Here is a 24,800-nt window from a genome sequence, read left to right on the forward strand (position 1 = left end):
GCAGCCTGGACCTGTGGTAGAGAAGGAAAACAAGTGGGCTGTGGTGCAATCACTTTCTAGAGAGATTAGCATGACTAAAAGAGAGCTGAGTGCTAATAGATAAGGCAATGAGAAAAAGGCCTCGAAGGCATTTCAGAGATCTTTGGGATAGCCCCTCCCATCACAGGCCCAGCAGCCTAGGCGGAAAGAATGCTTTCAAGGGCTAGGCCCAGGGTGCAGCTGTCCTGCTCAGCTTCAGGAGACTGCTCCCTGCATCCTGGCTGCTCTGGCTCCAGCCTCTGCTCAAAGGGGCCCAGGAACAGCTTGGGCCACAGCTCTGGAGGGTGCAAGCCGTAAGCCTTGGTAGTTCCTATGTGGTATTAAATTTGCAGATACTCAGAATTCAAGTGTGGAGGAGGCTTGGCAGTTTTCCCCTAGATTTCAAAGGAAATATCAGAAAGGCTTGGTGCCACAAGAGAAGCCCGCCTAGGGGCAGAGCCCCCATAGTGAAACTCCACTAGGGCAGTGCCAAGGGGAATTGTAGGGTTGGAGCACCCACAAAGTCCCCCCACTAGGGCACTGCTTAGTGGAGCTGTGGGAAGGGGGCCATTGTTTTCTAGATCCTAGAACAGTAGAGCCACTGGCAGTTTGCATCCTAAGCCTAGAAAGCCTCAATCACTCAACTACAACCTAAGAGTAGCCACAGGGGCTGCACCTACCTTATAAAGCCACAGAGGCGGAGCTGCCCAAGGTCTTGGGACATCGCCCTTTGTATCAGTGTGCCCTAGATGCAGAATATGCAGTCAAAGAAGATTGTTTTGGAACTCTAATGACTGTCCTGTTGGGTTTCAGACTTGTGTGGTCTACCACTCCTTTCTTTTGGCTGATTTTTCCCTTTTGAAATGGGAAGGTAAAACCAATGCCTGTACCACAACTGCATCTTGGAGTAAATAGCTTGTTTTTGATCTCACAGGCTCATAAATGGAAGGAACTCATCTCCAGATGAGATTTTGGACTTTGAACTTTTGAATTAATACTGGTATTAGTTAAAACTTTGGGACACTGTTGAGAAAGCATGATTGTATTTTGAAATGTGAGAAAGACACGAGATTTGGTGGGGGCAGGGGTGGAATAATATGGTTTGGATGTCTGTTCCCTCCAAATTTCATGCTGAAATGTGATTCCAAATGTTGGAGGTGGGGTCTAGTGGGAGGTGATTAGATCATGGGGGAAGATTTCTCATGGACAGTTTAGCACCATCCCCTTGGTGATAAGTGAGTTCTTGCTCAGTTAGTTCACATGAGATCTGGCTGTTTAAAAGAGTCTGGGACCTCCCCCTTGTTTCTCTTGCTCCCTCTCTCACCATATGATGTGCCTGCTTCCACTTTACCTTCTGCCATGAGTAAAATCTCCCTGAGGACTCACCAGAAGCCAAGCAGATGCTGATGCCATGCTTCCTGTACAGCCTTGCAGAACCATGAGGCCAATTAAACCTCTTTTCTTTATAAATTACCCTGCCTCAGGTATTTCTTTATAGCAGTGCGCAAACGGAGTAACACAGTCTGTATCATGGTGGACCTATAGCAGCAGCCAAACTGACTTTTCTAAGTGAGGGACACCGGAAAATGTGCAGACCAAGAAAGTACATAAAAATTTATGTTTATGTTTATTCTTCTTGGGAAACAATCTAATATTCTCATGATTTTCTCAATTTCAAAAGAGGAGGCAATCCCGTCCCTAACTGCAAATTTAAGAGACACTGTTCTAAAGTCAAACTTACACATTCTTTCCCAAATGCCTACTACGTCACTGTGCACTAGACATACAAAGGGAAATGACTCAGGATGCCTTTCCCTACCACTTGCCCTCAAAGAGCTCATAGTTTGGTGGGGGAGACTGACAAGCAACCAGTTAAACACTGTGGGTTTTGTGTGTTTTGGGCTTTCAAACCTAAAGCTCAGGAGAAACTCCTGGACCTAATTTCAGCAACCACCACTTAAAAGCTTAGTGTCTCATTTGCTTTCTTGCCCTTTACAAGTCCATGAAGCCATGCCTCTTACAGAATACCACTTGGCACCTGCCTTTAATTTTTATGAATTCATTTATAAAAATGAATTCCTTTTTTAATGTAGAACTCTGAATAACAAACATGATCCTAGGGCTGGAGGCCTGTATACCAGAAACCCTACCATCCAGTATAAAATATAACATAGGACCACAATGAGATGAAAGATATACCAAAAGCTAGTGTAAAAATATAAGGATCAAGGAATGTGATTCAGAATATGAATAAGAAAGTCAATGCAGGAAAACAACAAAGATACAGAAGAAAAAAAAACTGTGAAGGTAATTTTATGCAGTTAGGATGTTATAAGCAGGTTATTTTGGTATAAAAGTGCATTCTTGGATTCTGAGGACTGTAAGACAGATGCTTTCTCTAACGGAGCCAAAAATATGAAGTTACAAGCCTCAATTCCAGTTCACTTTGAAATTTACAGTTCCAATTTCTTTAGGAGTTAGGATGGTTAATCAGAACCACTGGGAAGTTTTTAATATGAAAATTATATCTGGTCAAAACACTTCCTATTGACCAGTATGCATATGATATTCTTCAAAACATATTGTTAGAAAACAAGTGATAAATGGGCAAGACAAACAGGAATCACATAAATACAATTTCTTGAATAGGGCACTCTTTTTGTTCTTGAGACAGGGTCTCACTCTTTTGTGGGATCACACATGGATCACTGCCAGCCTTGACTCAGGCGATCCTCCCACACTCAAGCGATCCTCCCACACTCAAGCGATCCTCCCACCTCAGCCTCCTGAGTAGCTGGAACCACAGGCATGTGCCACCACTCCTGGCTCATTTTTTTCTTTTTTAATGTTGCCCAGGCTGGTCTCAAATTCCTGGGTTCAAACGATCCTCCCACCTCAGCCTCCCAAAATGCTAGGATTACAGGTGTGAGCCACCATACCTGGCCAGGGTATGTTTTTTAAATAAAGAACAAATTGATAAGCAGAACCTTAAACCAAAATTTTTTTCACCATGTAATTCCAAAAATTTTTTCCCCTATCAAAAATTACTATAGAGAAGAGGGAACACAGCTACCTCTTTCTTCATAGTGCAACTCTTTTACAAGCTATGTGAACTGAACTTTTGTAACAGGTAACATACAATGCAGTGGTTAAAGCATGGTCTCTGAAGCCAGAATAAGACTGGAGCCAGAGTGAGACTCTGGGTAAACTGCTTAACTTTTTTGTCCTGAGGGTTCTTTGGCTGTAAAATAGGATAAACTTGTTAAAATATTAACTTATTTTAATATTTTCAAGTGCTAATAGCCAATATGGCACAAAAAGTGTTACCCATCATAAGGATAGCCTATCATTTTTGTGGTTTTGCTTAAGAAATGTCTTGGGTTGCTCCTCCATACTTGACAGAAATCCAATATCGACACCCCCAATATTTCTGATTTCCCTTCTCCACTCATTTTTTTTAAACATGTATCGCCAACACACTACTAGTTGTCTTGTGAACTGTCTCCCCATGTGAACATGTGAAAATTAGGCAGAGATATTTGTTTTATTCATGGCTGTATACCCAGGGCCTAGAAAAATGCCTACTGCGTGGCAGATACTAATAAATACTACAAAATTTCAGCAATTCTAAGATGCACATATTCTTACATAAAGTCTCTAAAATTGTGATGATTTAATTATACACCAACAACTGCCTTCCCAGTAACTGCCAGGCCCCACCACCTTTTTTAGAGGAAGTATATAAAACACAGGACAATCAATATCCCATGTCTGAAGAAAGTATATGTCAATGAATGAATCAATAAATGAATGAACTAAAGGGACAGGTAAGACAACTTCAGTTTTACCTAACTGAAATTCATGTACTTTGAAGAATCAGTTTAATTCTCACTTTCCCTGACTATAAACAGGGTATTCTAACGAAAGAGTACTTGCTGTCTAGTTCATTTCCTTGGACGTACAAACTCCTAATTGCTTACTCCTGGTCATGTTTCATTTATTACCATTTGTATGCTTGATCAGTGACAAAATGCTTCCGAGTGAATTATTTCCACTAAGTTAAACTAAAACTATGAATATTCCTTTGGAAATAACATTCTTGTGAAGGCTGCTGCTGTGTTTTTTTTATTTTTGAGACAGGGTCTCCCTCTGTTACCCAGGCTGAGGTGCAGTGGTGCAATCATAGCTCACTGCAGCCTCAAACTCCTGGACTCAAGTGATTCTCCTGCCTCAGCCTCCTGAATAGCAGAGATGCATGTGCCACCACAGTGGTTAATCTTTTTATTTGCAGAGATGGGGTTTTGCTATATTGCCTAGGCTGGTCCTAAACTCCTAGGTTCAAGAAAACCTCCCGCCTTGGCCTTTCAAAGTGTTGGGATTACAGGTGCGAGCCACTGCACTGCTGTTTTCATTTGTATTTTCAACTGTAAATATAAGTATAATGCTTAAAATGGCTTGCTTCACATTCTTTTTAAAATATTTCAAAAAAACAAATTGTGTATATATAAACAGTGAGGACAAGTTTATACAAATTTTAGTAAATATTAAATTCACAATACTAGGAAGAACATGAGCAAAAACTGTCTACGAATTAGAGAGGGGATAATGCATGAATTTATCTAATAGCCCAAAGCAGCAACAATTCACATAGAATTTTTTTCTTTTTTTTTTTTTTTTTTTTTTTTGAGACGGAGTCTCGCTCTGTCGCCCAGGCCGGACTGCGGACTGCAGTGGCGCAATCTCGGCTCACTGCAAGCTCCGCTTCCCGGGTTCACGCTATTCTCCTGCCTCAGCCTCCCGAGTAGCTGGGACTACAGGCGCCCGCCACCGCGCCCGGCTAATTTTTTTGTATTTTTAGTAGAGACGGGGTTTCACCTTGTTAGCCAGGATGGTCTCGATCTCCTGACCTCATGATCCACCCGCCTCGGCCTCCCAAAGTGCTGGGATTACAGGCGTGAGCCACCGCGCCCGGCCTCACATAGAATTTTGAGTGCTAAGTGGATATTTCTAGAGATTATCCATAGCTTCCAACATACTGTCAAAAGGGTACATAACTATCCCCTTCTCAAATTTTAAAAACCACTGTACTAGAGGTAAAATTTTCAGTTAACTTAACTTCACTAATTAAGCCAATTTAAAAGGCACCGCTCCAAATAATACCGTGAAAGAAACTGTAGTGCAAACTCATGAGAAATCATGTCTATAAAAATGAGAAGCCATTCTCATTCTCAAATGGTGGGGTATTCAGTTATCAGAAGACAAGAACTTTGATTAATAGAGAAATGCAAGGACCTGGTTAGGGGAAGTACAGTTGAGTGAAGATTTGAAACTAAAGTTCAATATTGCTTTTATGAACAAACTATGTTGTTATATTGAGGGCTCCTTAATGTTAGTGTCCCCTATCAATTTGATGATGATAAAACAATGAGATTTTTTAATGATTAAGCTGAATTAATAGATCTACCAGCTGAGAATAGCATACTAATGTACAAATCTCTAAGATGCTATATAACATCTCAAAGTCGGTTTGCATAATGAACAAGCTTCAAATTTTGTCAAATTACTGTCTATTAAAGTCCATGGGAACTGTTCCCGATACTCTTAGTTATACCTTAAGTATGCAACCAATTTTGTCAAATTACTGTCTATTCAAGTCCATGGGAACTGTTCCTGATACTCTTAGTTATACCTTAGATATGCAATACCATTTTAATGTATTAATAGTTGGGATCAATCTTGTAGTAATCAAACCCAACTACATCAAAATGGTGTAGCATATCTAAGGTATAACTAAGAAGCTGGTGTTTCTAGTGGTTCCAATTTGAAAAGATACAGAAAACCTTGAAGAGTTAACAGGTCTTGCAGGCAAAGAATATATTCCAAATAGTCTAAAGAAGCCCTGTTGGGACATGTGTGAATACTGACTCTGGCTTCCTCAAGATCATGCTACTTCAGAGAAATCAAAGTAACTACCTATCATTAAAATAATTAACAATTCACAATGAATTACATAGGTTACAAAGGTTTTAAAGAATTTTTAAATATAATTTAAAGTTATTTAATTTTGGAAAAGACTTTTTGCTATTACATTATATATTATCTAAGCAATAGCATGGCATAAAATGTTTCAGGAAAAATATTAAGAAAAATACTTTTGCTTAATTTCTCTAGAATTAGCTTTGGAATATATACTAATATACTTTAAAATTTTACATTAATAATTTCTCATCCTTAATAAAATAAATTGTAATCCCCATTCATCCTCATATGTGTCCCTTCCCATCCCTGCCTTTACAATTTGGAAATGCTTTCCTGGAATGTCCTAACCTTTATTTTATGTTTAATCTGATTAATTTATGAAAGGCAATCTTCTGAAATCATTTCAAAGACCATAATGCCAGAAAGTTATAATGAATTCTCCTTTTTGATTCTCAAAAGGAAAACCTGCCACAAATACAAATTTATGAAACCAAAGGCTTCTGTGAACACAGGAATATTCAACATAATTCAAAGACTAAAAACTAGTTTCATTAAAGGAAATGTCTGTTAGGTGAAAAACTAACTTCCATCTCTTCTATTTCATTTGCTTTAGGAACTCCTGAGCTAATTATTAAAGGTTAGGTTAAGCCTCATATGCTAAAACCAACTCAATCAACTACTGAGAGTGACAACTATTTTAAGCCACCCAGCAAAATGAAGGATAGTGATCTGAGAGTTTATTTCCACCAAATCCCTGGGAGGCATCCAAGCCTGGTTCCATCCTCTATAGCTCAAAGGGAAGACAATCTTTTTATCATAAACAGGAAGCAGTAGTATATATAATGGAACAAAATATTTCATCCCGCCAATCTAAAACATATAAATTAATTTGCAACATTTATGTGTTAATATAAAAATACTTTAACTGTATTAATCTGATAACTAACCCATTTTTAATGTCACTATAATTATGTCATAATCATACAATCGCCAAGATAATATAAGCATGCTCATTTATAAGCCAAATATATAGAACTCTTTGCACAAAGAACCAAAAACAAGCATAATAAAACTCACCTTCATTGGGAGATGTTTTCAATTTGGTGCAAATTCCATAGACATCTCCATAGCTTTCCTGTATTTTTCGTAATGCATCTGTGGACCTGAGCTCCATGAGAGCCCGCAGCTCTGCGAGCGTAATTCCAAAGTCTCCATCATGATTAGCTTCCTTCAAAGAGTTTTTCACACCACTGTAAGCAACTGAGTTGTTTGCCATGTCGCCCATTACAAGTATAATATATCAGAAGGAAAATGTTTCCCAAAAGAATTTAATTTTCACTTGATGTATTTCCAAGATGAAAATCTTTTAAGTATGAAAATCTTTCTTAAACCAAACACTCATTGTATGACTTTGTAAAGCAGCATCAGCAGCAACATTTCCCAGAGAAGTATCTTGACCTTTGGCCCATGACTAGTTTCTCCATATCAATCATGAGATATACACATCTGTAAGAAGAAAATATTTAAAAGTTAATAAAATCTATCTTAAGAGTATTATGCATGTAAGCATATTTTCTAAATGTCACCAGGTAGCTAAAGTAGATAATTTAATAATATAAATATTTTTGAACTCCAGTCTTGTGCTTTTAAAGTGCTTTGCATGATAAAAGATCAAAGTACAACTTTTAAATAAAACTGTACATCAGAAGACATTAGATTACATTATTAAATAAAACTGCACTTCACATGACTGAATTTTATGATCCACTCAGTATTACTGTTATTGTTCCAAGCACTATGCTAGTTGTTTTAAATTCATTCTCTCACTTAATCATTACAATTTAATCCCATGAGGTGTTACTCCTTCTTCTTCTAGTGATAAGAGCAGACTTCAAGAAAGTGAGTTTTCTGCCCAGCTAACAAATGGCTGAAATGTCTGAGGTGGACTGTCTCCAAGCCCAAGTTCCTTTTAACATTATACTTGGATCTCTCTCTCCAAGTCTTTCATATGGAATAGCCCCTGAAAGGACAAAAAGCATAACAGATCCTTTAATATTATTTCCTGTAATTCTCATTGGCCACTCTGTGACTCTAAAATCTTTTGGCCGGCAAAAACTATACTCTATATGATTTGTCACATGTTACCACCTCAGGTCTTCCTTTGACCCCCTATCTAAAGAAATTCTCTACTCTTTTGTTGTCCTTGCCCAGTCTTCTTATTACCTGAATTTATCTTGTTCATTTGTTTATATGTTATTTTTTTCCCTCCATCTACAGTATTAGTTCTGAGGGCAGAGTTTGCCCATTACTACATCTTGAGAACCTAGAACTGTACCAGACACATGGTAGACACTCAGTAAAAGTTTGAGGAATGAATACATGCATTACATTTATTTCTTCATCATACTTTCAAGTCCTCCTATTATACTAATCTGCCTAAAGATAAGCTCTCCTCTCCATACAATCACCTCAAAGTTAACATGCCCAACAATGGACTCATCTCATTCACTCATTAAATAGCTCTGCCACCACCATTATCCTTACCACCTCGGCTAGGAATCTTAAATCATCTTTGATTCCATCCTTTCCGGCTTCAGTCAGTTACTAAGTTAATTCTACCTTTGAAAAGTCTCTTCTGTATATAACCCCTTTTCTTCCTGATCTTCAAGTTCCTCTATGCAAATTATAATCATTAACCCCTTGGTTCTTCCTCATTCTAATGTCTCACACATACAATGCCCTAAGCATTTTGCTGCTACATTTAGTTTTTGAAATAGGCATCATGCCACTAAATCTAAACCTACAAGATGAAAATGCAGTCCCACTGCTGCTCATGACTGTCTGGCTCCATTTTACAGATTTAACGTCTTCCCACCTCAAGCAATCTACCTGCACTCCAAAATATTTTTAAAATGTTTGATGATTAGAACTAGAAAAGATTAGAATGGCAAATGCAATAAATCTTCAGCTATGAAACTGCTATGAAGATGTCTGTACATCATGGTGTATGGTCCTCATACTTCAGCATATATCAGAATCACCCAGAGAATCAGTTAGATTGCTGGGCCCCACACCTCAAGCATCTTTAGATTCAGGCAGATTAAGGTGGGGCTCAATAATCTGCATTTCTAATAATTTTTGGGGTGATGCTGATGCTATCAGTCTAGGGAGCACACTTGTGAGAATGACTGAACTGGAGAATGGGCTAAAAACTTAGAATTCATATGAGTGAGTTGAGGATGGCTGGGTGAGAAAAGTTTGCTTGCCTTAGGTTAAACTTGCAAAGATGTGACAGTTACAGATTCTGCAAGACATTTTCTTGCATTGCCTCCTTCCTCCCACTTCACAAATCCTTATGCTTGTCTAATTATTACCAATTTTACTCATCTCCCAGGCAAAGTGGGTTCCCTCCTACGCACACATCAATTATAATAATAATCCAACTTGAAAAACTGGAGAGGGTGGTTATTTGATAATCTCCTTAGGTTTCTATATCCAGAATTTGTTGGCCTGAACATCACACTAACCTTAAAATAGATTATTATTTAACAAATAAAATAATTAAGATAAGTCTGTGTGTTGAGGGCATGTTTGTTCATCCGTCCTCTGGTTTCCACAAAGAGGAATTTTCCTCAACAACTCCTGGCCTGCTATCCCATCAATCACCATGGACGTGAAATGACCTGCCTGATAGGAGATTTTCCTAGAGAAACTAGACATATGTAGCTTCTTCACCTCTGCCTTCTTTGGGGAGCCAGATAACTGGAGGACTCATGTATTCTGGTTTGAATTTTTAGGGGCAGACCCCAAGGTTTAAAAGCCTACTGGAGTAGAGGTAAATAATTGCTTAGTTCTGGGTTCAATACTAGAGCGTTGTTGTCACACAAAAACCAAGTCATCCATTCCAGCTTTTATCAGTAATAAAACTGTTTTTTTTTATTCCTATGTGCCAATCTGTCTTTTCTCTTCACAGAATTCAAACAGAGAATTCAAACAGGAGAGAGAGAGAGAGAGAGAGAGAGAGAGAGAGAGAGAGAGAGAGAGAGATAGAGATAGCATGTGGCTGTCAATCCTGGACATCAATTGAGCCCCTGGGTCAATCAGTGACTAAAGTTTGTCCCATCACTGATCTTTTCCGTAATCTGTCAATAAATGCCCTTCAGGGGTTGAGTTTTCTATTACTTTGCAAGCCACAGAGCTTTGATAAGCACATGAATATTAATCATGCTCAATTCCCTCACTGTTTAAAGAAATTTAAAGAAAAGGAAGCCCAGACAAAAGCACCAAATGCAAATGAGCCACTTTCCCAAAGTGGACCTATTTGAATTACCAATCACCTACAAATTATGCAGCAGGTTGTTGTCTATTTCTAGATCACCCATAGCTCCTTTTACTATTTTCTTCTTTACCCACTCTTCCATTCATCTAACTGGCTGGTTGACAAAAATACGAAGGACAATAAAAAAGTTTTGCTTTTCACTTGTTAGCTACAACATGACAATCAAGTTGAGACACAGGCTATTTGGGACTGATATACAACAGAAAGCAGAACATCTATTTTGCTTCTCTTTGTTTTCTAATAGAATTTTATCTTCTACTTGAAAAGTCTAAGAAAAAATGTTAAGTGCAAGCTGAGGCCCAAGAAGAGGGAGATTTTAAAGAAAGCACATGTAGGCCTCCTGGCTTACAAAATTTATCCCAGAATAAATGTTGTCTCTGAACAAACCACTGTTGGTAGTCTTTGAGGTATTACAAAACACACACACACACACACACACACACGCACAAGCACACGTAGCGGAAGACTGGAGGTGGGCAAAAAAGGTTACAGTATTCAAAAAGAACAATAAGGTGGATTTTTACTGACATATAATCTTTACTGTGAATGGGTAGGGCCTTAGAAAAAGACAAAAGGATGATTATATCCTAGTAGTTACTAGAGCTCATAAAGAGGTTGGTTAATAATACAATTTCAATTCCTTCTTTCATAAGGTTACTTTACAGAGCAAGGAAACGTTGTGTGAAAGTTAACCAGACTTGGTCAGGCGCAGTGGCTCATGCCTGTAATCCCAGCACTTTGGGAGGCCGAGGCGGGCGGATCACGAGGTCAGGAGATCAAGACCATTCTGGCTAACACGGTGAAACCCCGTCTCTACTAAAAAATACAAAAAATTAGCTGGGTCTGGTGGCAGGCGCCTGTAGTCCCAGCTACTCGGGAGGCTGAGGCAGGAGAATGGTGTGAACCCAGGAGGCAGAGCTTGCAGTGAGCGGAGATCGCGCCACTGCACTGCAGCCTGGGGACAAAGCGAGACTCAAAAAAAAAAAAAAACAAAAAAAAACAAAAAAGAAGAGAAAAGTTATCCAGACTCAACAATAAAAAATCAATTATTAGAAAAACTAAATAAATATAAGAAAATAGCAAAGTAAATTAACAGGTAAGACATGGAGTGCTAAAAATGATTATTAATATTGTACATCAGCATGAGATTTTTGCAGGCAAGACAGAAATATATGCTAATACAACTAAATATATTAGATAGAAAAGGACCAATCTAGAAAGAGGTGTTTTCTTAACGCACTGTTGGGTTCCTAATTCCTGAATGATTCGAAATTTTTGTTAGAAATTTGAAGACCTAGAAGTTGTATTTACCCAATCTATAAGCAACTCAAAGCTAGGTAAAAATCGGCAATACGTTACATGACAGAATTGGGATCTGGACAAATGGGAATGAGAGGTTAAATTTAATTGGTATAGAAGTATGGCCTCTTACATTTAATTCCCAAAACATAACTGTACAAATATGGCATATAAGAAATGCAACACCATATATGCAAAGACAAAAGTTCAGTTTACTCAAAGCTAAAAAATGCATTAATTTGGTGTTAATTAGCATGACTGATGTAAGTGCCTTCCCTCACTCCCAAAGCATGTGTGTTCTCAGGCAGTAGGGCCAGGAACGTAATATCTAACAAAGGGAGGTAACAGATCTATTTTACTTTGCCTTGGACATACACACCTATTATGTAACAGGCTCATCTGTAAAATAAAGATACAAAAACAGTACACATCTTATTAAATGTGTAAATACATGTAAACCCTTTGAACTTACCTTGACACACAGTAAATGACAAATACATTTTAGCTATTTTTACTGTTCTTTAAGAATATTTGCAGATCCATTCTGCAGAGAATAGCCTTCTCCCACCCCAGATGAGGAAGACCTCAAACCATTTCAGATATGGAAGGTTTAATAAGATTTTTAAAACAAGAGGAAAAGAGAATCAGTATATGATTTGATATACTGAAATAATTTAAATGTTAAGTCAAATTTTGATTAGTTTTAATACATGTCTCAGAAAATTTTTAAATCCAAAACTAGTATTTACAAAGGGTCTTAATCCATGACTGGTTCTATATGAGCACAAATTATTGATTTAGGGTTTAAAAAAAAATCTTCTAAAGATAAAGACACTTTATTTTCATTCATTTAATGAGAATACAAAGTTTTAAGTTTCAAATTTTTAGTTCTTTGGTGTTTAGAAGTCAATGTGTACCATCTCATAAATTAATATCAACTTTGACATAACTGTACACAATTAGAGCTTATTCCCCGGACCCAAATATACTAATATGATACCTTAATCAGAGTAATTACTGATTTTTTGGAGTGATTAAGCAAGTATTACTTTTTATAAAAGTTACTAAATCAAAATAAAACACTATTTTAAAAAGACTTTTCTGTTAAATCATGGTTACAAAGCAAAGAATTCTAGAATTTAACAGCTAAAGGGATGTTGGAGATCAAATCCAATAGTTCATTTTATGGCCATTAAAACCAAACACTCATAATTGTCTACTTCCAAAATGGATAAAGATACTTATAAAATAAAGCAAGTATTAAATACTCACAAAATCATTAAAAATGAGAGTAAATAGCTGAAATTTAAATCGCAGGATAAACAATATCCAAGTTTTAAGGAGGCTACTACCATCAGGGAAATAACTGGCACTGTACTTCGAAACTGGTACTGACACCCTGACCATTAGATGCACCATTTGACTAACAAAGAACTAAAAAATAATTTTTGACTACGGGCTTTCAAAAAAGAACTCAAGAGATCTCCATTTTCATTGTGTGTTTTTTTCTTTGTGTGTGTTTTTTTCTGTAACACAAAATCAATTCCACTTCCTTTGCACACAGACATAGTTACACCAAGAGCGAGAGCTAGCCTACATAGCTGTTTCTCACTGTGGTTGCTATTGGCATTTTATTGACAGTGACAGCTACCTCGTGAGTTTAAAAATCCAGCCCTACCCCACCCAGTCCTCTTAGATATCAGCAGTGATTCTCAATCAGTGTGGACAAGCTGAAACTTAGCACTGCAAATGTCCTATAGAAGGTTTGGATAGTATACCACATAATTGAGCCTAAATTTATGGCCCATTACACTGAAAAGTTATTTAAAGGCAACAAACCATGCTTTATCCATCTTTGATCTCCATATCTTATCAAGAGAGACTATGATCTTTCTTTCTTTTTTTTTTTTTTTAACACGAGACTGGAGTTTTATTATTACTCAGTCTTCCAAAAAGACTATGATCTTTCAACCTTCTTACATAGTCACTTTCTGCAGAAAGACAATAACCTTTTACCCGATTCACACCCTAAAAATCTGAAGTCCTTCAACCATGATAATTTACTGTAAACTTAAATATAAGTGCTTGCATGTAATATCTCACTCTCATAGTGAAAAGAGCAGATGGTCTATTATTATACATATCAAACAGATACTACAAGATTAAGAATGGTAAAGAGTTTATTCTACAAAGTTTTGGTACATTCAAATTATTTCATTAAAATGCTTTAAAGAAATCAAGGAATGACTCAAATTTAAATTTACTCAAGTCACATTTTTCACTTCTTAAGGGGCTTAAAGAAAACATACACACTCACATAAAAGATCATTAAACCTATACTGCTTGTTTAGAAAAGTAATTTATATTAGATGAGTAAAGAATAACATATAAACAAGAGTAAATTCACCAAAGGATTTTAGTTTTATAGAGCTGATAAAGCAGAAAATAAGCATTATCTAAAATGCCTGATTTATTAGTCTCAAAGGATTCCTAAATACCATCCCTGTGTCTGTGTTGACTAAAATTAGTCCTACTCCCCTAAGTAACTTACTTATCTAGTAGACTCTTCCAGAGGCAGAGACTAAGTACAGTACTTTAAAGGGCAAGTTACAGCTGCTGTCAGTTATAAACTTGGCATGAACACTTTAGCAAATCTCTCAGGGTGGGAAACAACTAGATTAGAATAAGGAAGGCATTAATTTGTTCTTCTATTATAGCCTTTATCACACAGCTGCAATGATTTGTTTACCTCTCTGTCCTTCCCAGTGAACTGTAACTCATGGGAGAATCTGTGCCATTCATTTTTAACCCCAGCACTGTCTGGAACATAGTAGGTACTCTTGAACCATAAGCTAAAATAAATTTGAAAAACAGATTTTACAATGGAAGCAACCACAATTTAAATAGCAGAGCTAAACAAAACTTCCTAACACTGTTTAAAAGAATATGTTAGGTGTTAGATGAGTTAAGAGAAAGTCACAGCTTTCAAGGAGTTTTCAAACCATCTTGGTATGCCAGATATATTATAGCTTTCCTTTAAATCCTTTTAGACAACAGAATAAGTTAAAGGATATTTCAGATTTTAAAAGGAATTACACGCCTGCTACATGGCAAAGTTTTTTAACCAGGGTCTTAGATTCTTGAGGGTATGCAAAGAAATAATACTGAATTATAATATTTCATACAGCCTGAAAGAAACAATACATTTATTTGAAAAATAATTTGTTAGGGTTACCCATGCTAAATAAAAATCTGCCAAATCAACATGGTAATAAAGTTGGCAAGGTCTAAATAATAATGAATACAATCTTACCCAGTAAATACCATTTGGTAAAAAAAACACTTAACTCCACATCTAACTAACATCTGCTCCAAAATTTGCTGTTTCTACACTATCTCCCACTCATAAATCAACCCATGACAATCTAGCTTCCTCTTTTATGCTGCGTTGAAACTACTCTTCCAGGTGACCATTGATCCTGTTCTTAAATCTAATGGACACATTTAGCCCTAATCTAACCTACTAGCAACCTTTGCTACTGTTAACCACTCCCTATTGAAATGTTCTTCTGCCTTCATTTCTCTGATGTCTGACTCTTATTCTCACTACACTGTCATCTCTAGCTGCTTGTTTTCACTTTCCACTGTCCTTTTTTTCGAAGAAGTCAAAGCAGTCAGTAGGGAGGGGCTGGATGGCACAGCAGCCTTTATAATTGCTTTCATCTGTTTTTAGTCAGAGTAAACGAGATTCGTTTATTGATAATAATAAAAATTTATTTGCATGTGCATTTACAGGGCCTATTTATTTTGTTTCTCTCATATTTCAGAATTCCACAATTCAATTAAAATGATGAAACCACAATGTAACAGTCTGGCTCAGTGAAAGTGTAAAAAAGAAAAAACCACCCAGGTTTTCTTATCCTAAAGGCCCAAGCACAGCTCCTGTTTCCCACACCCTTTAGTCTATAAAGAAATATGCCAGCCCAAAGCAGAATAGGTGACTCACCTCCCTCCCTGGGGCTGTTAGATAACTATTTTGGCTTTTGATAGCTGTCATTTTCAGTACAGATTATTCATTCATGCCAACAAAGTACTTAATTAAGCAGAGTATATGATAAAATTTTAATGTGAATGATCTCAAACACAGGTATCTTGAACTATAGAAATTTTTGGTCTACGGTCAAGTCAGTTGGTATCATCTTATCCCAAACATTTATGATAGCTGTCTCTTGGGAGGTTGGTCTAATTTTGCAAGGTTATACTTACAAAACCAAAAACAATCCCTCTGAATTTACCAAAACCAGAACAAACTTAAAAGTTAACACACTACAGATTAGTGGTTCTTAAACTTCAGCATGCATCAGAATCACCTCAATCACCTGTGAAAACACAGATTCCTGAGCCTCACTCAGTTGATCGAACACTTCATGAGACTGTCTAACAACTTCTCAGATAACAGTGATGCCAATGCTACTGGTCTGGAGAGCCACTACTGACAGAAAGTGTAGCCTCAACCTTGACTAGGGAACAAACTGCTGGATTGTCACCTTGATCCAAAAGTTTCCTCAAACAAATATAAGCAAATTACTTATGGTTCTTTATTATGCTATTCTTTTTTTTTTTTTTTGAGACAGTGTCTCGCTCTGTTGCCAGGCTGGAGTGCAGTGCACTCAGCTCACTGCAACCTCCGCCTCCTGGGTTCAAGCGATTCTCATGCCTCAGCTGGGATTACAGGCATGCACCACCATATCCAGCTAATTTTTGTATTTTTAGTAGAGATGGGGTTTCACCATGTTGGTCAGGATAGTCTCGATCTCCTGACTCCGTGATCTGCCCGCCTCGGCCTCCCAAAGTGCTGGGAGTACAGGCGTGAGCCACCACACCCGGCCTATTATGCTATTCTTGATGTGCATGGATAACTGAAAGCAGACTACTTTCTAAAAATATTACTTGAGTTGATTTTTTTGTGTGTTTTGATTTTTAGTACCAAGTATACTAATATTTTTCCATTTAAGCCTTATAATACACAAATATACATAAACACTGCAAATAATTTCTTTTATTCAAAAAATGTGGAGACTCATATTGATACATTCTGAACATATGTTAAATTACTTTAAACACCTAAAAAAATTAAATTTTTAAAAGTTTAACAGAGAATCTTAGGTACCTACTTTCTTTTGCTCTCCCAGAAAATAAACTACTTTGTTTTCTCCTATTCTATTGTTCTATTTAGGCATTTTAGAAACCTTTCATCTTTACAGTAAGTTTCCTAGTAAAATAAGCTTTTGAAAAGCTCAAAAAATAAAGTTAATTTTATATAATCCTGTGCAGTTTACCAAATATAAGAACATACTATATCTCCAGTTAAATATGAGAACCAAATGTTCTATCATTTTCCAGTCTCACTGGTGTTGAAATTTTCAGCTATAGTCAAAGAAGAGATTTCTAAATTAAAACTGTGTTTTTCCTTCTGTTCAGGAGCTAGAAGGCAACATGAACACTTGAATGTCACACCAGCTGCTCTGTCGGCCTACTCAGTTCTTAAGAGCTTCTATCCTGTCAATTCACAAGAACCTACACTTACATGCTTAAGGAAACAGGATGCTCATTATGTCACTGAAAAGAGCTCACAAAAATAAAGTTGGCAATATTGAGGGAGGCATAACTCTTATCTGTAAATTTAACATGAGCTTTCTGTTTTCTTAATTAAAAACTCTAGATTTCAATAAGATTTATTACAGTTCTTCACCAACTGAATAGAGAACTAAGGGAAGAAGGCACTTTCCCATTTCTTTATCTCGTTCTATTTATATAGTTTCATAGTTGATGATCTTTTGCAATTTCCAGCTGTGATTATTAAAGAACAGTTCAGTAAATCAATACTCACTTCTGCAAAACATTTAAATAATCTGGTTGGAAAATAAGGTAAATTCTATTTTAAGAGGATATCAGACAAGAATTTATTTATGGTTAACTCACCAAAGTGCAAAGAATATGGGCAACAGGGATGTGTTGAACTGTAGCCCACTCCATCACAACATGTTGGTGATCCTTCAAACTCTCTGGTTTCACACACTCTTGACCTTCATTCTAAGACTTTGATCTGTATTCTCTACCTGCTATTCAAGCGGAGGGCCACAAGGTAAACTTATCATCCCTTGGAATTGTTCTATTTTCAAAATTTGCTCTCCAGTGAACAACTTATCTCACTTTATTTCTCTTCACTTCTACTGAGTCTTGTGTAAACATTCTGACCTTCAAGTTCAAAGGTAGTCAAGATCCTTTCTGATCAACACTTGCCTCCCTAAAAATGCTTACTTCTCAATGGTCAGCGACTCCAGTTTTGCTCTTATGTCTCACTTGCTCTTTATCCTCCTACCACCCATCTGGTTAATTAGCTACCCCTGAATAGACATACCATCTGGCTGAGCAATGTTGGTAAAAGTTTAAAAACTGAGTTCTTAGTTCCATCAGAATTTTTTCTCAGTCATATATGATCCACGGACATATCTCTAACTTCCTGTCATGTTCCTCTTTCAATTCCAAGACCTTCTTAAATTACTCCAGCTCTTTCCAGGGTCCTCAAGTCTGCTCCAAGACCTTGCTTCCTTGATTGCCACTGCAAGCTACCACCACTTCCATCCCCTTTCTCTTGGTTTCCTCAGACTAGCCAATATTCAGATACATTCTACTACATAAAAGACCATTTTTCTCCACCCACCTCCCTGCCACAAAAAACAAACAAACAAAAACAAAAAAAACAAAAAACATGTCTCTCCTGGATTTTGATAACCCATCAGGCTATTCTTTTTCTCCCCCTCCTTTTATCCCACTTTTTAAAAAGATCTATTCACAATGCTTCCTCCTAATGGCCCACTCTCACCTTGACCCTGACAAACTGAATCCATTCTTCTGTCCACACACTACTAAGATGGCTCTCTATGAAGAGCCATCTTCTATTAATGCTTCTATTAGCCATCATCTATTAATGATCTCAGGCTTTTTATCAGTCCTCATCCTCCTCTTAATTCTGTGTCACTTGACAGTACTGTTCCCTCCTGTCCATTGTATCACTTACTTATTCTCACAGGTCTCTAACCCATCCTCCTCTGCTCACATTTACCCCCTTTTAAAATCTTTACCACATCTTAAATGAGGGTATTACCCAGGGATCTATCCACAGGCCTCTTGGCAACTCATACCATATTATGGCCTACATCTACCACCTTAATCAAGTGCCAGGCCATGTTCTGTTAACAGACATTTCTATCTGAGTATCTTGCTGTACTTCAAATGCAGTCACCAATATTAAACTTATCACTGTCCCCCAACACCTGTTGTTGTTCTCCAAAGTTCTTACCAGTCCCAAAGGTATCTGAGTAAACTCTATGTCCAAGGCTCTGTCTTCAAGGAGTTTACAGTCTAAATGAGGGAGAAAGACAAGCATACTAGAAAGTAAAATTAAGTGTTGTACACTGCTAAAAGAAATCACAGATGATACAAACAAATGGAAAAACATTCCATGCTCATGGATTGGAAGAATCAGGATCGTTAAAATGGCCATACTGCTGAAAGCAATCTACAGATTCGGTGCTATTCCTATCAAACTACCAACACCATTTTTCACAGAATTAGAAAAAATCATTCTAAAATTCATATGGAACCAAAAAAGAATCTGAATAGCCAAAACAAGCAAACAATTAAGTGCTACAGAGAACATCACAAAAGATACAATGAACACAAAGTGTTAGCCAGGTACGTGACTTCAAGAAGAGCTTCACTGTCTAGGATACACCTAAATTGAGGCAGAGTAGTGCACAGCTGGGGAAGGGGCTAAAAACTGCAGTGTGAATGATAGTTTAATATAGCTGAACACAGGAAAACAAGAAGGCAACACAGAAAAAAGCTGCTACCGTGATAAAAACACATTACCTATTTGTACCTCCGGAGGTTTTCTTAAAATTTCATCTTCTCAAATACAACTTAAGCTTCCTGAGGGCAGAGCAGTAGCCACAACTCATGTTCTTTTATAGCCCCTACAGAGGCTAACAGATTGCTTCACTGTTTATTAGAATAAAATTTACATTGCAAAAGATTAATGCTATTAAAATCCTCAAGCTCTCCTAACAGAAAACTAAAATAAGATAACCAGCACACACATAAAAAAGAAATGTAACCAAAACTGTGGGTTATTTTTGGACTGAGGGAGAAAAAACATACAGTTTTCAAAAGCTCCTGACTTCCTAATTCTTTCTGGTAACTTTTTAATATAGGCAATTGAAATTATTTTATAAGCCTAAAGAGAGATTTGCACCATCTTTTGAGAAGATGCTTCCATTCTTACCAACTGCAAAAGGTAAAATGAATGAACCAGGGAGATAATAAGGAGGGATTACTTTCAAGATGGTGATGGAAGCTGCACAGCATCTAGCCTATAAACATTTCCCTTCTCACGAGGTTTTCAACAGATCATACATGTAGTAGACCAACAGAGGAGGTACTGATACTGACAGCTTCAGTATGGGTGTCATGTCCCAAATCAGCATCCCTTCTCTCATCCATTTGTTCCAATATAGCTCTTAGATTTCCCATCTCCTTTTTTCTCTCTTTGGACAAGTTCCAAGTAACAGTCTCCTACTGTCATACTAAAGAGTTTTCCCTAATGAAAGCTAGTCAATTCCCTTTGCCTTTCTATTAACTTCATCAAGGAACAATTAAAATGCTCTCTACTCTGACTCCATGGCATGGAATTAAAATATGTATCTGTGCTTCTATAATCTTTTTGAGCTTCTACAACACACTCAGTATGTACTGCATTTTCTTGTGCACACACTCAGTATGTACTGCATTTTCTTGTGTACTGCATTTTCTTTTGTGCATTTTCTTGTGTACATTTCTTGTGTACATTTTCAGCTTACAGTTTAATCTTTCTTCCTGATTAAACTGTAAGCTGAGGGCAGGATGGTCTTGTTCATTTCTGTATCTCCTAGTGACCACTCCAGCAACAGTACCTTGCCCACAGAAACTGCTCAACACAGGGTCACTTAACGGAACTGCAGAACGTGGCAATGATATTGAAGACAAACAGATGTCCTTTAGCAAGGCCCATCTCAGGTGCCAGCAAAAAAGACTGTCAATCCCAAAGAAGCAAAGATTTTTTTCAGCACTCAAGAGGATGCCTGACCTGACACTAAATCATAACTAGGATGATGACAGGTCCACAGCTTCTTAGATTTCCTCCCAGCACTTTCTCGTACTAGCTGCGTGACCCTGAACAACTTACGTAGTGCTTCAGCTTCCTCGTTTGTAGAATATGGATATCACCTCCATCTCATAATTTCTGAGCAGATTAAATGAATTACCATATGAACTATCTTAGAATCATCCCAATGTCTTAGAGCTAGGGCCTGGCACTTAATAAAAAACAGTCATGAACTGTATAGTGTATATTATTAAGTGTAATAACTATGGTGATAATTAATAGTAATATTTTTAATTTGTCTCTAATAAACTCTCCTATTTTGCATACATTACATAATGCTTAAGTTAGCTGGGTGATATAGAAGGCACACAATATATATTTGTTAAATAAACAAAAATATTCAGTTCAGTATATGAATGTGATGTCCTTATATATGACATCAAATAGTATTTAAGAATTAAAAAGCAAGAGGGAGGTATTACGTATCTATAATTTTATAACTGCTGATCTCCAAACCAGAATGGTCAACTTTAAGAAGAAAAGGAGAGTGACACACCAGTGGGAGAAAAAAGTTTTCTTCTCACAATTAAAATCAGATGATTAACTGTTTAAGATTCTTAGAGATTTAAAAATAATGACTAGGAAATTAAATGCCAAATTGGAAAACTCTTTGTGACACAATATTCAGGGGGAAAGCACAGAAATGTATCTACCCAAAGATAGATATAATCATGTAGAACTGACATACTGTAAATGGACAAGAACCAGAAACAGGAGGGGAAAGGAGCTAATCTGTCAGAGGAGCAATCCAACAGATTCTTTTCTAAATAATAATAAAAATAATAAATACGTTTAACAATAAATAAAAAATAAATACAGATTATTTCCTAAATGCAATGGATGTTATGTGCACAAAATAAAACCGAATTTTTTTTTTTTTCAATTGTTACGCATTCTGACTTTTTGTAGTTGTTGTTGTTTTGGTTTGTTTTTTTCAACTTTTATTTTAGATTCAGTGAGTACATGTGCAGGCTTATTACCTGGGTATACTGCCAGATGCTGAGGTTTGGAGTATGAAAGATCCCGTCGTGCAAGTATTGAACAGAGTATCCAACAGGCATTCTGACTTTGATCTATCAGCATTACACTGAAATTCTAGTATAACAGAAGAAATCTACCAATCCTGGTACTAATCCACAATATCCTTACCAAAGCTGTGACGGTTTTAAAATTAATGCTTATGTCCTAGAATATAATAAACAGAATGTATACTGAGCAGCAAACTTTGGCTTAACAATCAAAAAAATTAATAATAAATGCAAAACGTAAACTATCAGTTAAGGAAGTACAAGTAATCATTCGCCTGGTTAATGCTGGTCTGATCTAAATGTAAAGAGAAAAGGAAAAATGATACACTATACAAAAGACACATGCCCACATACAACAGAAGAACCTTCTTGGAACCTGATCACAGGGAAAGAAGTATAACAGTTCAGGCCTTATACATTAAAAAAAAAAAAAAGGGGTGGGGGGGCTCAGACCTCATCAACTGACTTGGAATAGGAACTGCTAGGATCATCTGAAAGGAATTAAAATTTAAAATCATTATACATTATATCAGGTTAAACCATATGACACTGCCATTTTTGTGGATGAAAACCAGGAGAATATCAGCAATTTCATAGAGCTCAACCTAATAAAATGGATTGAGCAGAACATTCAAAATGGGCAACCTAAAAAGAGCAAAATGGAGCCCAGGACTCAAGATCTGACATTAGGTAGACTGAATGAGTCAGTTTAACTCAATGGGAGAAAAAAAGCATTTAACAGTCAGAAATGGGTTGGTCAAACATCGTCTTCTAAGGACGATCATTAGAAGAGGAAAAGAAAATCTGGCCTTTCTCATTCAAGCAGTATTTAGAAGGAAGAGTTTTCTACGTTCACAATGAGGTTACAGTAGTATTTGTATCCTAACTGAGGGATTAAAATGTTGACTACTTACCAGAGTTAAGAGGAGGACACCTGTGCCAGACACTGTGTTTAGCAATTTGCAGTATACACTCTACATGGATCCTTTCGCCTAATCTTCCCAATGCCCTATGCAATGTAGTATTTAATATTATTACCCCCAATTGCCAGATGAGGTAACTAACCGGTCTTTGAGAAGTTAAGAAAAGCCTGAGTCCATCACACATTCCAAACATACCGCTTGTTCTGCCTACATACTCACTAAGCAACCTCCTAATTATAACGTGGTTTCCCATGTGGTAAATCTACAGGGAAGAGAATGTGCTAGCCAAGACCTGAGAGTCTGTTTCCCAAGGCAGTTTTTTTTTTTTTTTTTACTGTAAATTAATGGACATTCTGATTTTTATATCAAGCTCATGAACTCTGTAAATATGAACCTGAGACAAAAATTAGGTAACTGTAGAAATACTAGGCTACAGGGTCTATAAGTTTCAGACTCTTTACTATGGTAAACTACTAAGAAATGCAATCTCTATCCTGAGAGGTCCCTTTAGAGACAGCAAGTCTCCTTTACCCCAAGAGAGGAGATACCTCAGTATCATCATTAGCAATCTCTTCCTTTTTGAAATCTCTAGAGTAGAAAGAAGCAACAACGAAATGACAAAATTCTAATTCTGACTCTGCTGTGCTAGCACTTAATCCTAAGCAAATTGCTCTATCTCCCTTGGTTTCATTTTTCTTATGTGTAAAATAGAGAAACTGGCTGGTGCAGTGGCTCACGCCTGTAATCCCAGCACTTTGGGAGGCTGAGGCAGGCAGATCACCTGAGGCCAGGAGTTCAAGGGCAGCCTGGTCAACATGGTGAAACCCCGTCTCTATTAAAATACCCAAATTAGCTGGGCATAGTGGCGGGTGCCTGTAATCCCAGCTATACAAGAGGCTGAGGTAGAAGGATTGCTTGAATCTGGGAGGGAGAGGCTGCAGTGAGCTGATATCACGCTACTGCACTCCAGCATGGGTGACAGAACGAGACTCCCTCTCAAAAAATAAAAACAATTTTAAAAAGGAAGAAAAAGAAACTGGGCCCTCTGATGTATGTATATTCCTTTCTATTCCTTTCTTATCTAGCACATATGGCTGCCTATCGCGCGAAATCCTCTTGCCTTGTACACGTCTCTTGCCTTCCGTGTACAATTCTAATTTTATATCTATTTATCTGACCCTTCCTTCTCTGTGTCTCTGACTGGCTCCCCTATGTACTTTCTGCCTCTCTCCCACCCAACCACTATCTCCACACCCACCACAGTAGAGTCTGGAGTCTTCTATTTTCATCTCACTGGCACTCAAACTTATGACTATAGATTTATATTTATAAACACTACCTGTACCCTTCATTACCCAACTACTGTGAATCATATTAAGTCTAGTGCGGTTATCTGTATACACTTGAGGTACTGAAATACTGTACCTTGTCTGAAAGACCCACATGCAATTCAGGATTACAACTGGATATTTGTATTTTCCTTTCCAAGTTTAGCCTCTTGTTTCCACTTAGCTGAATTTACAAAACTATAATTCTAAGCTTCATTTATCTTTCATCTCCAAAATCTTGACAGTAATCTTATTCCTATCCTCAAACTCAAACACAAAAACTCTATTCCTATTAAGAACTTCCAAATTCCTCTAGACTAGACTTCCAAACTGGTGAGCTGGAGAAGCTATCTCATAGTATGTTAATAGTTGTGCTGTGAAAAAAGGTGTTTTGTGTTCAGTACAGTTAAATAGGTTTTCTTCAGCCAGATACTTTTCATAGCCTTGCATATTTGTGAACCTACAAGAGGGAAATATTATATGCAACATTTCCTGAACTTGTTTTTACCTACTTTTTCCTACAGAGAACCTATTAATATCACTTCAAACTACTGTTTCACAGAATAATATATGCGCTCTCGTCTTTCCTATTTCAAAGTATCCACCACTTAAATATAAAAG

General features: G+C 37.1%; 1 protein-coding gene across 45 annotated transcripts in view, besides 1 other annotated feature; it reads right to left on the bottom strand.

Annotated features, from left to right (window-relative positions):
* ATP2B1 (ATPase plasma membrane Ca2+ transporting 1) overlaps positions 1-24,800 on the bottom strand; it is a 121,318-nt gene that overhangs the window by 60,556 nt on the left and 35,962 nt on the right. For 39 of the 45 annotated variants that reach the window (NR_182094.1, NR_182093.1, NR_182095.1 and 36 more), the window contains one exon: positions 7,075-7,503. Coding sequence is in view for 42 of the 45 variants with exons in the window: in NM_001413053.1 (NP_001399982.1) it covers positions 7,075-7,282 (208 nt within the window). In the remaining 3 variants the exon portion in view is untranslated. Of the gene's footprint in view, positions 1-7,074; positions 7,504-14,384; positions 14,488-17,617; positions 22,348-24,800 lie in introns of those variants that run through there. The other 6 variants (XM_047428894.1, XM_047428897.1, XM_047428891.1 and 3 more) reach the window with 6 other exon arrangements.
* Positions 13,121-13,170: an enhancer, noted in NCBI's record as "active region_6708". NCBI's record gives its function as "activates an Ori minimal core promoter by ATAC-STARR-seq in GM12878 lymphoblastoid cells {active_cell/tissue: GM12878}" and the evidence as "EXISTENCE:reporter gene assay evidence [ECO:0000049][PMID:35858748]".

The sequence above is a fragment of the Homo sapiens genome, chromosome 12 (assembly GCF_000001405.40).
Source record: "Homo sapiens chromosome 12, GRCh38.p14 Primary Assembly".
NCBI classification, from domain to species: Eukaryota; Metazoa; Chordata; class Mammalia; order Primates; family Hominidae; genus Homo; species Homo sapiens.